Genomic DNA, 13589 nt, shown 5'->3' with positions numbered 1-13589 from the left:
GAGATCCCCGTACGAGGACCGGGCTGAGGCGAGGCAGTGGGGGAAATGGAGCCGGGGTATCATTCATTCTATTTTATTTAACTTTAAGCAGGGCTTGATCAGAAAGAAGAGCTCAGAGGAGTGAGGCAACACCAACACCAGGGCGTACGATACACCCGAGGCTCCTCCGACACCAGTTCCAGCCCGGAAGGGCTTGGAATGGCCTGCCACGCCGGGGCAATGGAGCGCGTGAAAGCCAAACCTTGGGACCCGAAGAGTAATTTGACTGCGAAGGCACCGTCATCGTCGGGCACCCCCTGTAGACGGGCGCATAATAGCTACATCTCTGGAGATAGTGATGGAAACTGGGGTCCGATAGATGGAGAGAAGGACGTAGGATAAGGCTTCTTGTGGGGTGAAGAGGCAGAGGGCACCTGGAGAGAGGTGTGGCATGGAGAACCAGGGGTTTTCCCTAGCAGAGGGCGGCTTCGTGGACTTCGGCCAACCGGCGGGTGCTTCCCTCGAGCGGCCGCTAGATGGTGGTGCTGTTCTGGATGCTTCCAGTGGGCCCCGACCAGGTCTGGACAATGCCTGGCGCCCGTCCCCCGCCCCTCATCTACACACACGCAAGAATTCGGAGCTCCATGGGGAACAGAAGCAAGATATCCGTAAAATCAAAGTCTAGGGGGTGGGAATGAAAAGGGAAAAGTGAGGAACGGGGAGCCAAACCCAGGAAGACGCCTCTGTTCCTGCACATTCCCTCTCCTTTATATACTCAGCTCTTGGCTGTCTCCAGTATGTACCCACCCTGGTCTTCCAAGCTGGGAGCCACTTTTTATAACACAATCACAGTTTCACAAACCCCAGGAAGGTTCCATGTGGAGAGAGGTTAAGTTTCGCCCTTGCCCGGGGAATTATGACACTCAGAATATCCCCTTGGTGTAAATGGAAGACACCTGAGAAAAGAGAGAAAGTAGATTCGCAGTGAAGCACAGCCATCCAGATGCCCTGTTTCCCCCTGCCTTCTCCAGCTCCACCGTTCCTCTGCCTCCTGTAAGGACCCGGCATTCTGCACTTCACTCCTCAGACCCGCCTCTGTTTAGGTTTCCAACCTCCCTCCTAGCGGTAGCTCCCTGCACTGCTACCCCCGGTCAGAGACGTCCTGCTTTCGGCTGCCCACACGGCTCTCACCTGCGCTATAGCAGCTGTTGTAGGCCCGGTCCGGGTGGGAGGGCATACTTCTTATACATCGGAATAGAGTCTCCTGCCTTCCTTGGCCTTCTCGAGACACCACCTGACCCATGGTGAAAGTCACGTCTTGAAACAGGACCTGGCAGGGAAGGGAGATGTTGAAGAAAACAGGATGGCCTGGCTCAGTTCTGGGAGGCCTCAGGAGCGCTAACGAGGGAAGAAAGAAGGGTCTGCTGGGTTTGGTATGAATAGAGGGGTCAGGAACCCTCAGTAGGGGGCCAAAGAGGCCCTCTGTGAAGCTCAGAGTGTGGCTGGGGTTACCTGGCTATACAGCAGATAAACTCCAGCATCCTGGATTCGGACACCATATCCTTGGGCCTGTAGGCCTCTCCCACGCCTAAGAGCTGGTTGCCACATCACCTCTGTCACATCGGAGTCATCTGGAGGTGAGAGTGTGTCGGTCAGGACTTCTTGGCACTCTCAGGTGCTTTTTGGTTCTTTCCCTTTCACCTATAAGGACCCCTTGAGCCCAAGTGCCAGCCCGAGTTCCTGGTTATTGCCCCTCCCCAAAGCCATTATTTAAAATAGTGCTCACCCTTGGAGGTGGCGTTAATGGGAACCAGGTGCAGGACAGAGTGCTGCTCTGAGGAGAGAAGGAGGGAATCTCAGCCGCATCCACTTTCCCCCGTTGTGCTGTTGGCAGCCTCCACCCTCACCCTGACTCGGGCTTACAATCCCCACGCTGCTTGATCACCTCCCACCCCTGCTGCACCCTGGAAGCCTCACTCTTCTGTTTTTGGGTGAGCACTGCTCTCCTTTTCCGGGATCTCTCCCCATTCTCCCAGGCTTCCAGGGCATCGGAACTCTGCTCATGGAAAGAGGGTCAAGGTTAGGTTAAGATGCGAGGGTCCCAGCCAGCCTGCCTTCCCAGCCCTCCCCTGCCCCCGAGATGCCTCAGATCTCTCACGCACCTTTTCCCAGCACCCTGAGTGTTGGTGCTGGCTGCCCTCCAGGATTTGTTAGGTATGAGAAGCATTAACCTTTAACAGTTTCCTTTCCTGGAATGGCCGCGCCCCTGACTTCCAAACCGGAGACCCTCTCTTGCACCCCCTTGAAACTTTGCAGACCAGGAGGCCCAGAGACCCCCCATGCTAACCATCCTCTCCCAGACACCCTCCTCCCCTCACTCACCTGCTCCGGGAGACTCTGCCAGGGATACCCTTCCCCATTCTGGGAGGGGCCTCCTGTCCCCTGCAGCCGGCTCACCTCTCTCCTGAGGCTCTGCAGCTCTGTTTGTTGGGTCAGCAGAGCCATGGCACAAGCCACGGCCCCCAGAGCTGCCCCCCAACTCAACCAGAGGGCAACTGAGAGTGCCGGCTCTCTGACTGGGCCCCCCATGTTGCCTGGAGGCCCTTTGGGGGCTAGCAAGAAAGGAGATGAGGCTGGCATGAGCTGGGGACCCTGCCAACAGCTGTGGTTTCAAGAGTGGGGTAGCAAGGAGGTGGCGGGGCGGGTAAGGGTACGGGCAGTGGTGCAGAAGGGAAGAAGGTTGTTACGCAAGGAGAAATAAAAAGGAACTTGAAAATAAAAAGGAGGGAGGAGGAAAGCAAGCTAAGGGTACTGTTAGTGCTCCTGGCACTCCGTCGTGGGGCCAGCGTTGCCTTGAGACCCTCCACCCTCCCTCAGCCTCAGGAGAATTAGGTTCCAGTCCCTCTAGGAAGGACAGGGCTGCCAGTGACACCCAGGAGGAACAGGCAGTGCGCAGGAACCCTGGGGCGGCCCCAGGGTTGGGGGAGGGAAGGTTGGCTGGCTAGAGGGCATTGTGCCAGGAGCAGGATGGGGGGCCAAGCTGGGCAGTGTCCAGGGTCAGGGCGAGGGTGGAAGACCCTCGGGGTCAAGCACAGCAGAGATCGCTGGGGCAGTTCACTAGGGGTGACTGAAGGTGGGAAAGGAGGGGTGGGCTCGATGGGGAGGAGAACCAGGGGCACGGAAGCAAGAAACTGGCTGAGTTCTGGGGTTAAGGCTGGGCCGGGTGTGTTGGAATAAGGCCTGCACTACTCCCTGTGCTGAAATTGGCAAGCAGGACTTCCTGTTTCCCGAGAAAAGCTCTTACATAAGGCTCTGGACGAAGAGACAAAGCAGCGGCCTCAAGCCCCCCGGCCACTGCGGGATTCCTCCCCAGCACACAGGGTTCCGGGTTCCCGTGTGCCTGCTGACTCTCAGCCCCTCCTCCAGGCTGGCTCCTGCCCGCCCCACCTCCCAGCCAGGGCCTGTGCCAGCACCTGCTGAATGTCCGAGGCCACCAAGAGGAAGGGCCCCTGCTCCTCCCAGCCAGGAAGGGATTTCCCCGCAGGAGGAAGTCTGCCTCCTAGGCCAAGGAGGCCGCTTCTGCTGTACCTTGGGCGGAGGATTGATTTTTTTCCTGGGCAGTGTGCCTTCCTACCTCTGCTCCCACCTGGGGGCTGGAGGCATGGAGGTCCCCGCCCCCAAGCCTGAACATCATCCCGGAGTTCCAGCTGTGCCGCTCCGCAACGCCCCCCTTCACGTGGCCCCCAGCTACCCTGAGAGTGTCCCCTGAGCCCCAATAAAGAGAGAGACTATGACTTATTCTATTTAATATCCATTTATCAACATTTTGTCACAATAATAATAAAAATAATATCTGTTTTAAAAATCCACAGGGAATTCTCAAGGGAGGAGCTTGTCTTGTTTCTCGCCCCTCACATTTGGGAACTCCTGGCCTAGGCCCAGTCTCTTTGGCTTCCTGCCGCCAGGTCCAGCCCCTCTTAGTGCCTGAAGTGGGGTCTTCTGGACCCATCCTTGCCCACAGAGTACAGTGAACACAATGCCCTGGGGGTCTGTGGCCAGGGGGGAGTCGAGATCACTGGGGGCCTCAAAGGGTCAGGGATTGGGGAGCTAGTGAGGTGGAGAGTGGGCGGTGGGGGAGTTGTAAGATAAGAGTGGGAATACTGTATTTATGTGGGATGGAAAACACGTGAACAGGCCCAGGCAGCCTCTAGAGGGAGGGGCAGGTCTGGAGCAAAGAGCGGCTGAGGGTGGGGCAGAGGGGACCGGGTGCCCAGAGAGCTGTCGAGGGGAGCCGGCAGCCTGGGACGACTGCGGGGAGACCAGGGCCCCTCAGTGAACCTGGAAGAGTCCGAAGTAGGTGAGGAAGGGGGCAGCCTTGAGATGGGCCCAGGGGAGGGTGCGGATCCGCAGGGAGGACCCTGGCCGCAGGGCCAACAGCCCAGACACCTGGCAGAGGCGGAGCTGGGGCCCGAGGGAACTCGCCGCAGTGGCTGAGAATTCCTCCAGGCAGCGCAGGGCCAGCACACCATCCACCAGCAAGTCCAGCTTCAGGTAGACAGCCTTCCCCTCATCAAAGTGCACCTGGGGTGGGGACAACAGGCCGAGTCCAGGCCTCTGCCTGCCCTCGCCTCAATTTCCAATTTCCTCAGCGACGCAGGCATCCCATCCCACCCAAACCCCAACTCACCCTCCCAGCCCTGTAGCTTGTCCCCCACTCTCCTGGCAAACCCTTCGCCACTCTCTTACTGCGTTACCCATGCAGCCAGATGGGGCTTACCTGACAGTACAGGTAGTAGAGCCCAGCCCGGGTGACTATAAACTCCCCGATCTGGCGGTTGTAGCGCAGAGGGCTGGAGCTGTTGATTCTGGCTTCCTCCCAGCCACTCACTGTCCCGTCCACACCTGAACACGGATGCTCAGAGATAAGGAAACGTCTCTCTACAGGACTCCCCCACACTCCCCAGGGATCCATTGAGCATATGAACATTCGGCGCCCACTTTACCCAGAAGACACATAGATCACCCCGGGCAAGGGAGGACCCATCCCCTATGATGCCCATAGTTGACTAGGAAGTTATGTGAAAAAATCTAATGTATATGGCCAGAGACATTCAGGGCAGATTGTCACCTGCAGTCACTTCTGGGGAGAAGAGTAGAACTGAAGGAGAAGCGTGAGGGGATTTAATGTTTTACTTCATGGATATCTATATTATTTGCTTCTTTTATATGGAGGATGTAAACATACATTATCTGAATTAGTACAACTAAAAATAATAAAATGAAACCCAATTGTCCATCAACAAAATGTCTATCCATATAATGGAATATTATTTGGCCATAAAAAGAGTGAAGTACTGATACACACTATGGCACAGATGTGCCTTGAAAACATCATGCTCAGCCAGGTGCAGTGGCTCACGCCTGTCATCCCGGCATTTTGAGAGGCCAAGGTGGGCGGATCACCTGAGGTCGGGAGTTCGAGACCAGCCTGGCCAACAAGGTGAAACCCCGTCTCTACTAAAAATACAAAAACTAGCAGGGCATGGTGGCAGGCACCTGTAATCCTAGCTACATGGGAGGCTGAGGCAGGAGAATTACTTGAACCTGGGATGGGGAGGTTGCAGTGAACCAAGATCATGCCACTGCACTCCAGCCTGGGCAACAGAGCTAGACTCTGTCTCCAAAAAAAAAAAAAAACAAAAAAAACGCTCACTGGGCATTTTTATTTCCACCAATGGGTTCCCACAACCTGTGCTCTGCAGAGTCTCCAGCCCTGAAGTTTCCTTCCCTTCCTTACCCTGCCAACTGCACCATCTGAACAGCAATAGCCCCTCAAACTCATCTCAACCAACACTGAGCTGACCCCCCTCATCCCACTCTTGCTTTACTGTCTGTTTTCCACATTTGGCTTCTGGTTTTGCCACCAGGGGGATATTCAAGCCTCCCTCTCCTTTACCTACATCATTAATCGATCACCAGTTCCTATCTATCCTGCCTCCTAAATAGCTCTCTCCCCTCTCTCCCCCATCTGGTGCCTCTGTCTGGTTTTCACAGCATTCCCTGTTTCCATTCTGGCTTCCTCCAGTTTATTCCCTACACAAAGCCACAGAATGAGTCTCTAAGATGCAGACGTAAGCCCGCCTCGCCTCGCCTTCCTCCTTCCGATGGCTCACCTCAGAATAGTTCCCACATGCCACCGTGTGGCCTGGCTTCTGTCTCCAGCCTCATCCCCATCTCGCTCCTCTAGCACTTTCTGCTTCTGCCACGCTGAACTTAGAGTCCCCCAGCCTCATCATGCTCTGGGCAAACCCGGGGCTTTTGCCCCAGGGGCTGCTTCTGCTTGCACCCACCATTCTTGACCCCTTGCCTGTCTTGTCTTACGCTCCTGCTTCAAGGCCCAGCGGCACCTTGCGATGCAGGGAGAGAATCCCTGACTCCACAGCCATGTCTGTCTTCCCCTGTGTTGCCAGGTATCTTGGCCACTTTTATTATTGTTCTTGTCATATTCCACTGTAATTACAAATTTTTTTTTGAGATGGAGTCTCACTCTTGTCACCCAGGCTGGAGTGCAGTGGCACAATCTCGGCTCACTGCAGCCTCCGCCTCCCGGGTTCAAGTGATTCTCATGCTTCAGCCTCCTGAGTAGCTGGGATTACAGGCATGTGCCACCAAACCTGGCTAATTTTTTTTGTATGTTCCTGTAATTACAAATTTATATGCTTGTTTCCTCTCCTAGACAGTGACTCCTTAAGAGTTGGTCTGAGGCTGGGCACAGTGGCTCACGCCTGTAATCCCAGCACCTTGGGAGGCCAAGGTGGGTGGATCACGAGGTCAGGAGATCGAGACGCTCCTGGCTAACACGGTGAAACCCCGTCTCTACTAAAACATAAAAAAAAAATTAGCCAGGCGTGGTGGCAGGCGCCTGTAGTCCCAGCTACTCGGGAGACTGAGGCAGGAGAATCACTTGAACCCGAGAAGGCTGCAGTGAGCCGAGATGGCGCCACTGCACTCCAGCTGGGGCAACAAGAGCAAAACTCCATCTCAAAAAAAAAAATGGGTCTGACCGGCTGGGCGCGGTGGCTCACGCCTGTAATCCCAGCACTTTGGGAGGCCGAGTTGGGTGGATCACGAGGTCAGGAGATCGAGACCATCCTGGCTAACACGGTGAAACCCCGTCTCTACTAAAAAATAAAAAAAAATTAGCCAGGCGTGGTGGCGGGCGCCTGTAGTCCCAGCTACTTGGGAGGCTGAGGCAGGAGAATGGCATGAACCCAGGAGGCGGAGCTTGCAGTAAGCCGAGATCGCGCCACTACACTCCAGCCTGGGCGACAGAGTGAGACTCCATCTCAAAAAAAAAAAAAAAAAAAAAAAAGAGTCTGGATATTAGTTGCTGTGGGCACCTAGCCTGGCCCCTAGCAAACAGTAGGTCTTCAATGCCTGTTGAGTCAATGAATGAATGAATGTCTGGATAATTGCCAAAATAAGTGGTCTATACAGAGGGGAGGAAGGCTGATCTGGGCATGAAGAGTAGGGAGGGCAGAGAAGAGAGGGCATTCCTAGCTACGAAGCCAGCCTAAGCAAAGGCTGCTTGTAGCCTAAGGGCATGGTGTGCCCAGGAGCACGGAGGGCTTGCCTGGTATATCACTTGTCTCCAGCCACAAACCTCACCTGGACATTCCGTCCTGCCTGGCAATCTTACATTCCCCCACGAAGCTTGCTTTCATAATCAGCAAGTTGAGATTTTGTACCATTTCTCCTCAAATCTCCTGTCTCCATCTCCCTAGTTGTCCAGAGGACCTAGAAGTCATCGAGCAAAGGTTCCCTCATCTCCCCCCAGCAAATCTACAAACCCACCTGGTCTCTTGTTCTCCTTTGACCCTCTGGTAATGGTGGGAGATGTGTCCTCTCTTCTTTCTGGAAACTTCCCTCTCCCCTTTTTGGATGTGGCCCCTGCATGGACCCCTCACCCCTGCACCAGCCACCTCGCCTTTCATGCAGACCATGTCCAGTACACAGGCACATTCTAGCTGGGTTCAAATCTTGGCTCCACCACTTAGTATCTCATGGCCTCAGACAAGTTGTGTAACCTCCATCTGTAAAATGGAGGTAATTAGAGTATCTTCCTTTTAGGGCTGTTGTGAGGATTAGATAAGACCAAACACAAGTGCCAGACACAGTGCCTATCTCAAGAAAGCCCTCAGTACATGTTAGATCAGATGAAAATAGTATTGTTCACAGAACTAAACTTTTCCTTGGTCCACACACCCCTCCACCTACTGGCCTATTTCTCTGCTCCTTGTTACAGAGAAACTTCTAAAAAGGGTTGTCCTAGGCCGGGTGCAGTGGCTCATGCTTGTAATCCCAGCACTTTGGGAGGCCGAAGCGGGTGGAACACCTGAGGTCGGGAGTTTGAGACCAGCCTGACCAACATGGAGAAACCCTGTCTCTACTAAAAATACAAAATTAGCCAGGCGTGGTGGCGCATGCCTGTAATCTCAGCTACTGGGGAGGCTGAGGCAGGAGAATTGCTTGAACCCGGGAGGTGGAGGTTACGGTCAGCCGAGATCGTGCCATTGCACTGGATCCAGCCTGGGTGACAAGAGTGAAACTCTGTCACAAAAAAAAAAAAAAAAAAAAAAAAAAAAAAAAAAAAAAAGGTTGTCCCTGCCTCCAGTTCCTTATTTCTCATTTTCTTCTCAACCCAATGCACACTGCCTTCCTGTTCTAACTATGCCACTGAAACCACCCTCTTTAAGGTCAGCAGGACTTTCACGTTACCAAACCCAGCCATCATTTCTCTGTTCTCATTTCATGTGATCTCTCAGCTGCATTCAACACAGACAGCCACATCCTCCTTGAAACAGTGGTTTCTCCGAATCCAGGATGCCACCCTCCCTGGGTTTCTTCCTCTCTCTCCAGCTTCTTTTCAGTCTCTGCTGGTTTTCCCCTCAGCTCCACTTCAAGATGCCCAAGAGTCTCAGGGCTTCATTCGTGGGGCCCTTCTTTCTCCTGGCGTCTCACCCAATCCTGTGGCTTTAAATGCCATCGATAGGCCGGGCACAAGGGCTCACACCTGTAATCCCAGCACTTTGGGAGGCTGAGGCTGGCGGATCACCTGAGATCAGGAGTTCAAGACCAGCCTGGCCAACACGGTGAAACCCTGTCTCTACTAAAAAATACAAAAATGAGCTGGGTGTGGTGGCACCCGCCTATAATCTCAGCTACTTGGGAGGCTGAGACAGGAGAATCGCTTGGACCCAGGAGGCAGATGTTGCAGTGAGCCAAGATCGAACCACTGCACTCCAGCCTGGGTGACAGAGCGAGACTCTGTCTCAAAAAAAAAAAAAAAAAAGCCATCCATATGGCCATGACTCCTGGCTTTATCCGTCCTGACCTAGCCTAAGCTAGTCGACAATGTCCAGCCATCCATTTCTGGAATTTACTTTATTGTCATTTATCCGCTTGTTTATTTTAGACTTCTCAACGTTAATAATTATCTTACATACTTCCCAACCTATTTATTCCTTGGTCAATCCCTTCTTAGGAAATGGCATCATTCTTCCCAGAGATACCCAAGTTAAAAATCTAGAAGCTGGCTGGGTGCAGTGGCTCATGCCTGTAATCCCAGCACTTTGGTAGGCCGAGGCGGGCAGATCACTGGAGGTCAAGAGTTTGAGACCAGCCTGGAAAACATGGCAAAACCCCATCTCTACTAAAAATACAAAAATTAGCCAGGCGTGGTGGCACACGCCTGTAATCCCAGCTACTTGGAAGGCTGAGACGGGAATCTCTTGAACCTGGGAGGCAGAGGTTGCAGTAAGCCGAGATTGCACCACTGCACTCCAGCCTGGGTGACAGAGCGAGACTGTCTTAAAAAAAATAAAAAATCTAGAAGTCATCTGTGATTCCTCCCTTTCTTTTATTCTTCACCTCCAACCCATAAGTCAGTAATATCTTCAGGACACAGGCTGAACCCATCCACTTCTCACCATCTCTGCTGTGAACCCCTCGGCTGAGCACTCCTCATGCCTCCCTGCCTCTCACAGTGGAAAGACATTCTGGTGAGGGGGATGGTATGTGCAAAGTCCAGAAGAGGCACACCGGGAGCAGGGGTGTCAGCGCAGCAAACATGAAGACAGCATAAGAGTGCAGGGAAATTAGGTTGAGACCAGACCACGAAGAGACTGGAAGCCATGTAGAGAGCCAATACCACAAGAAAAGTGAAGTTTAGGGGCTCAGCATGGCAGCACAGGTCAGATGGAGTGGAGGGGTAGGGAGGGTGTGGAGTGGGGAAGCAGCAAGAGGCTGGATTTGAGGTTCTGAGGTCACGGTGCTGAGGTAGAGGGTGGGGTAGAAATGGAAAAGATGAGCAGACACTAGCAGCATTTAGAGAAAAAGATCATCAGAACGTGGAATATGGAGGAGACAGAAGAAAAAAGAATGAAAAGTGCTTCTTGGAGAAGAATGAGGGCTGAAGGAGAGAGCTGGGACAGTGATTTGCTGGGGGAACTGGGCAGAGTTCTGGGGAAGAGTAGGGGTCTTTCATGGGGTCCCACGCCTGGGTCACAGAGAGAACCAAGACCTTCATGAACTGGCTTCTGTGGTTCTGAGACTGATGGCCGGGAAGGGAGTGGGAGGTCAAAGGTTTTCAAGGGCCCTTTTCCCAGGAGGCCAGTGCTGTGTCGGGGGATGGGGTCTCACCTGCCTGCGCTCCGTCCTGTCCAGGTCGTGGATGAACTGTAAAGTACAGGAAAAGGCTGGTGAGACCTGCCCTGACCCTCTGCCACCTGCCCCTCTCCTCCTGGGTATGGCTCACCCATCACCCACCTTCATAATGGGCTGCGATCGCTCTTCGAGCCCGTGTTTTCCGGCCTTTAGGTGCTGAGGATCAAGGAAAGACAGATGAGCAAAGCGGGCCCTAGTGGGGGTCCCAGAGCAACTCTCCCAGCCCCATTCCCCTCTCAGGAACCCTGGCATCCTTATTCTTGTCCAGACTCCTGGCCTTAGAATCTCAGGCCTCATCTTCCTCAGTAAGTAGAGTGACTATAATTTGTCATCCACACTGGGATACTGCTGAGAGCAAAACGGGAAGCTGCTATTAATCACACCGAGATAACAGGTGGGGGCCAGGACAACTGCATGCCGACTTGGACACGTGGTCATCCGGCCACCCCATCATCCCATTCCTAAGTCTCTTTGCCTACCGGGGCCCAGGCCTCTGACTGCCAGGCCTAGTCTCCATCAGGATCCCAGTAGTTCTTCTAACTCATGGCCACCCTGCCTTCCTGTTTGGGGTAGGGTCTGAAGGAGCACATCCATATGACAGAAGGAGCTTCAGAGGAGGGCGAGAATCCCTAGGTTTGAGTCTTGGCTGGTTAGCTGCATGACTCTGAACTCCTTTCACCCTCCGTGCCTCAGTTTCTCCCTGTGGATAATGGTTTTTGCTCTGCCCGCTTCCTGAGGTTGGGATAGAGGGATGCTCACCACTTCTGCGAGGCCGAACTAGTCGGTTCAGGAAAGGCGCAGGATCCTGGCTTTCTTCTGTCTGGGGATTCAGTTCCTAGGGGAATTAGGGCAGGGTTCAACCACAGACTCCCAGAGATATAAAGTGAGACATACGGGGCCTGTCAGGAGAGCCACCAGCCAGCAATAGACACAGAAGTCAGGGACAGATTAAGCCCCTCAGCCAACTACAGCTGGGGCCCCGGGCAAAGGTGAAGCTGGGAGTCAGGCCCCAGTCCTCACCCTTTCCTCTAGACCAGCTACACTTTCCCACCCACACACACAACCAACGCAGACCCTGCATTCAATTGGCACATTGCACACATGCCCGCACCCAGTCACCACGCACAGAGGATACACACCCTGTACACAACCGCACCCCTCTTCCACGCAGACTCACATATCTTATACAACCACGTCACCCCCAGCCAATAAACACCTCAGACTCAGGTGGCACAACCCCAGCACAAACCCCTCACACAGAGTTGTCACCACGCACACACACCCCTGCAGACACGCACCCATGCACGCACTGTGTTCACACACACCCTGCACACACCTCGAGTACGGCTGGCACAGCTGCACACACCTGCAGCCTCGGCTGTGCACACTTCCCATGCCCCAGCAGCCTGCAGACCGCGCCCACGCCCACTCACCGACGGGTCCTGGTCCTCCTCTGCCACCAGCTCCTCCTGGGCAGGCTCCTGCTGGGAAGGAGGGAGCGTCACCCTGTGCCGCTCCACCTGACATCTCACCCTCCACCCATCCTCCCTTCCCCTTGCCTTCAGCCCACGCGGCCCCCAGCGGCCCCTCTGCAGTCTCAGCTCCTGATGTGCCCAAGAAGGGGTGCGCAGCGGGGCCTCACCTGGGCGGACAGCGATGCCCGGCTCCCCAAACTGACCACGGCCAGCAGGAGGCCGAGGCAGGCCAGCGCCAGGCCCAGGCCCAGCGCGAGCGGGACCAGCAGGGCGGTGCCCGGCTCCCCCCGGCGCCCCCTCCGCCTCTGGCTCCGACGGGCGGCCATGGGGGCGGGGGGCTGTGCCTGCCTCACCGCCCCCCCATCCCGGGACCCGAGGGATCGGGGGAGGGGGAGCCGGCGGGCGGATCGGGCCGGGGAGAGGGAGGGGCAAGGGAAACGGGGCGGGAGGGGGCGCTGGGGACAGGAAGCCGGACGCTGTGTGTGATCAAACTCCGAGCCTCTCGCCGGGCGCTGTGCGCGCAGCGAACGGAGTGGGCGCCCACCCGACCTCTGAGCGCCCAGCCCGGGCGTGCACCACCAGGGCGAGGTCCGTTGCGTGCGGCCGCGGGAGCGACGGGGCTATGCGTGTGCGGGCACCTCCTGCGGGGAGGTGGGGAACTCAGGAAGGCCTGTTGGTTCAGATTCTTCTGTGTCCCTGTGTCTTCAGAGATAAGGACCCTCCTTTCCCCCAGGTGCAGGGAGGGCGCCTCTCGCAGGAGGCTGTTATTTGCTTCTTCAGGAAAAGGGCAGGGAGTTCCAGGTTGTATGACCTGGTTCAGGGAAGAAGGGCAGGAGAAGGTAAGAAAGATCCTTCGGCTTCTGCGGTTTTCTCAAATTCCTTCAGCTTAAAACACTCACTGTGCCGGTAGCACGTTCTGAAGCCCATCATTACCAATGATTGCCAAGCATCTGAGGAGGACCAGCAGCATGCAAAAGAAACACCAAAATTGGTCCGGCAGGTGGCTTACGCCTGTAATCCCAGAAGGCCAAGGCTGGGGGCCAGGAGTTCAAGATCAGCCTGGGCAAGAGCAAGACCCCATCTCTACAGAAAAGTTTTAAAAAATTAGCCCACGCCTGTAGTCCCAGCTACTCAGGAGGCCGAGGTAGGAGGATTGTTTGAGCCCAGGAGTTTGAGGCTGCAGTGAGCTGTGATTGCACCACTACACTCCAGCCTGGGCAACAGACCTTGTCTCAAAAAGAAAGAAAGAAAGGAAGAAAGAAAGAAAGGAGGGAGGGAGGGAGGGAGGGAAGGAGGGAAGGAAGGAAGGAAGGAAGGAAGGAAGGAAGGAAGGAAGGAAGGACCAAAATTGGCTGGGCGCGATGGTTCACGCCTGTAATCGCAGCACTTTGGGAGGCTGAGGCGGGTGGA

General features: G+C 55.0%; 3 protein-coding genes across 10 annotated transcripts, besides 7 other annotated features; all 3 read right to left on the bottom strand.

Moving 5' to 3' along the window:
- Positions 58–3377, bottom strand: TNFSF13 (TNF superfamily member 13). Of its 7 annotated transcripts, NM_172088.4 has the most exons (7): positions 2362–2909; positions 1957–2035; positions 1766–1813; positions 1492–1610; positions 1171–1309; positions 842–935; positions 58–660 (listed from the first exon to the last, which is right to left on the bottom strand). In NM_172088.4, the coding sequence occupies exons 1-7, from the start codon at positions 2617–2619 to the stop codon at positions 654–656; spliced, it is 744 nt and encodes a 247-aa protein (NP_742085.1). In that variant the 5' UTR covers positions 2620–2909; the 3' UTR covers positions 58–653. The 7 variants fall into 7 exon arrangements, 6 of the variants coding, with proteins under 6 accessions (NP_742085.1, NP_001185553.1, NP_003799.1 ...); NM_001198624.2 differs by lacking the exon at positions 1957–2035 and adding an exon at positions 3284–3377 and having other exon boundaries at positions 58–935; positions 1766–1808; positions 2362–2591; NM_003808.4 differs by having other exon boundaries at positions 58–935.
- On the bottom strand, positions 58–12601 carry TNFSF12-TNFSF13 (TNFSF12-TNFSF13 readthrough). The gene is made up of 11 exons (NM_172089.4): positions 12347–12601; positions 12138–12185; positions 11464–11539; positions 10807–10860; positions 10681–10716; positions 4757–4881; positions 1957–2035; positions 1766–1813; positions 1492–1610; positions 1171–1309; positions 58–935 (listed from the first exon to the last, which is right to left on the bottom strand). Exons 1-11 carry the CDS (start codon positions 12503–12505, stop codon positions 826–828), a joined length of 993 nt encoding a protein of 330 aa, NP_742086.1. The 5' UTR covers positions 12506–12601; the 3' UTR covers positions 58–825.
- Positions 237–486: an enhancer, noted in NCBI's record as "active region_11628". NCBI's record gives its function as "activates an Ori minimal core promoter by ATAC-STARR-seq in GM12878 lymphoblastoid cells {active_cell/tissue: GM12878}" and the evidence as "EXISTENCE:reporter gene assay evidence [ECO:0000049][PMID:35858748]".
- Positions 2861–2910: an enhancer, noted in NCBI's record as "active region_11627". NCBI's record gives its function as "activates an Ori minimal core promoter by ATAC-STARR-seq in GM12878 lymphoblastoid cells {active_cell/tissue: GM12878}" and the evidence as "EXISTENCE:reporter gene assay evidence [ECO:0000049][PMID:35858748]".
- Positions 3366–4159: an enhancer, noted in NCBI's record as "H3K27ac-H3K4me1 hESC enhancer chr17:7460817-7461610 (GRCh37/hg19 assembly coordinates)". NCBI's record gives its function as "activates a minimal SCP1, AML or CMV promoter by ChIP-STARR-seq in primed H9 embryonic stem cells {active_cell/tissue: H9 hESC(primed)}" and the evidence as "EXISTENCE:reporter gene assay evidence [ECO:0000049][PMID:30033119]".
- Positions 3721–3780: an enhancer, noted in NCBI's record as "active region_11626". NCBI's record gives its function as "activates an Ori minimal core promoter by ATAC-STARR-seq in GM12878 lymphoblastoid cells {active_cell/tissue: GM12878}" and the evidence as "EXISTENCE:reporter gene assay evidence [ECO:0000049][PMID:35858748]".
- On the bottom strand, positions 3778–12601 carry TNFSF12 (TNF superfamily member 12). Of its 2 annotated transcripts, NR_037146.2 has the most exons (8): positions 12347–12601; positions 12138–12185; positions 11464–11539; positions 10807–10860; positions 10681–10716; positions 7834–8072; positions 4757–4881; positions 3778–4560 (listed from the first exon to the last, which is right to left on the bottom strand). NR_037146.2 is itself a non-coding variant. In NM_003809.3 (7 exons), the coding sequence occupies exons 1-7, from the start codon at positions 12503–12505 to the stop codon at positions 4309–4311; spliced, it is 750 nt and encodes a 249-aa protein (NP_003800.1). In that variant the 5' UTR covers positions 12506–12601; the 3' UTR covers positions 3778–4308. The 2 variants fall into 2 exon arrangements, 1 of the variants encoding a protein (NP_003800.1); NM_003809.3 differs by lacking the exon at positions 7834–8072.
- Positions 6268–6768: an enhancer, noted in NCBI's record as "H3K4me1 hESC enhancer chr17:7458208-7458708 (GRCh37/hg19 assembly coordinates)". NCBI's record gives its function as "activates a minimal SCP1, AML or CMV promoter by ChIP-STARR-seq in primed H9 embryonic stem cells {active_cell/tissue: H9 hESC(primed)}" and the evidence as "EXISTENCE:reporter gene assay evidence [ECO:0000049][PMID:30033119]".
- Positions 12407–12486: a silencer, noted in NCBI's record as "silent region_8127". NCBI's record gives its function as "represses an Ori minimal core promoter by ATAC-STARR-seq in GM12878 lymphoblastoid cells {active_cell/tissue: GM12878}" and the evidence as "EXISTENCE:reporter gene assay evidence [ECO:0000049][PMID:35858748]".
- Positions 12517–12706: a silencer, noted in NCBI's record as "silent region_8126". NCBI's record gives its function as "represses an Ori minimal core promoter by ATAC-STARR-seq in GM12878 lymphoblastoid cells {active_cell/tissue: GM12878}" and the evidence as "EXISTENCE:reporter gene assay evidence [ECO:0000049][PMID:35858748]".

This window comes from Homo sapiens, chromosome 17 (assembly GCF_000001405.40).
Source record: "Homo sapiens chromosome 17, GRCh38.p14 Primary Assembly".
Lineage (NCBI taxonomy): Eukaryota > Metazoa > Chordata > Mammalia > Primates > Hominidae > Homo > Homo sapiens.
The sequence above is the reverse complement of the archived record's forward strand: the minus strand, read 5'-3'. Positions and strand labels throughout refer to the sequence as shown.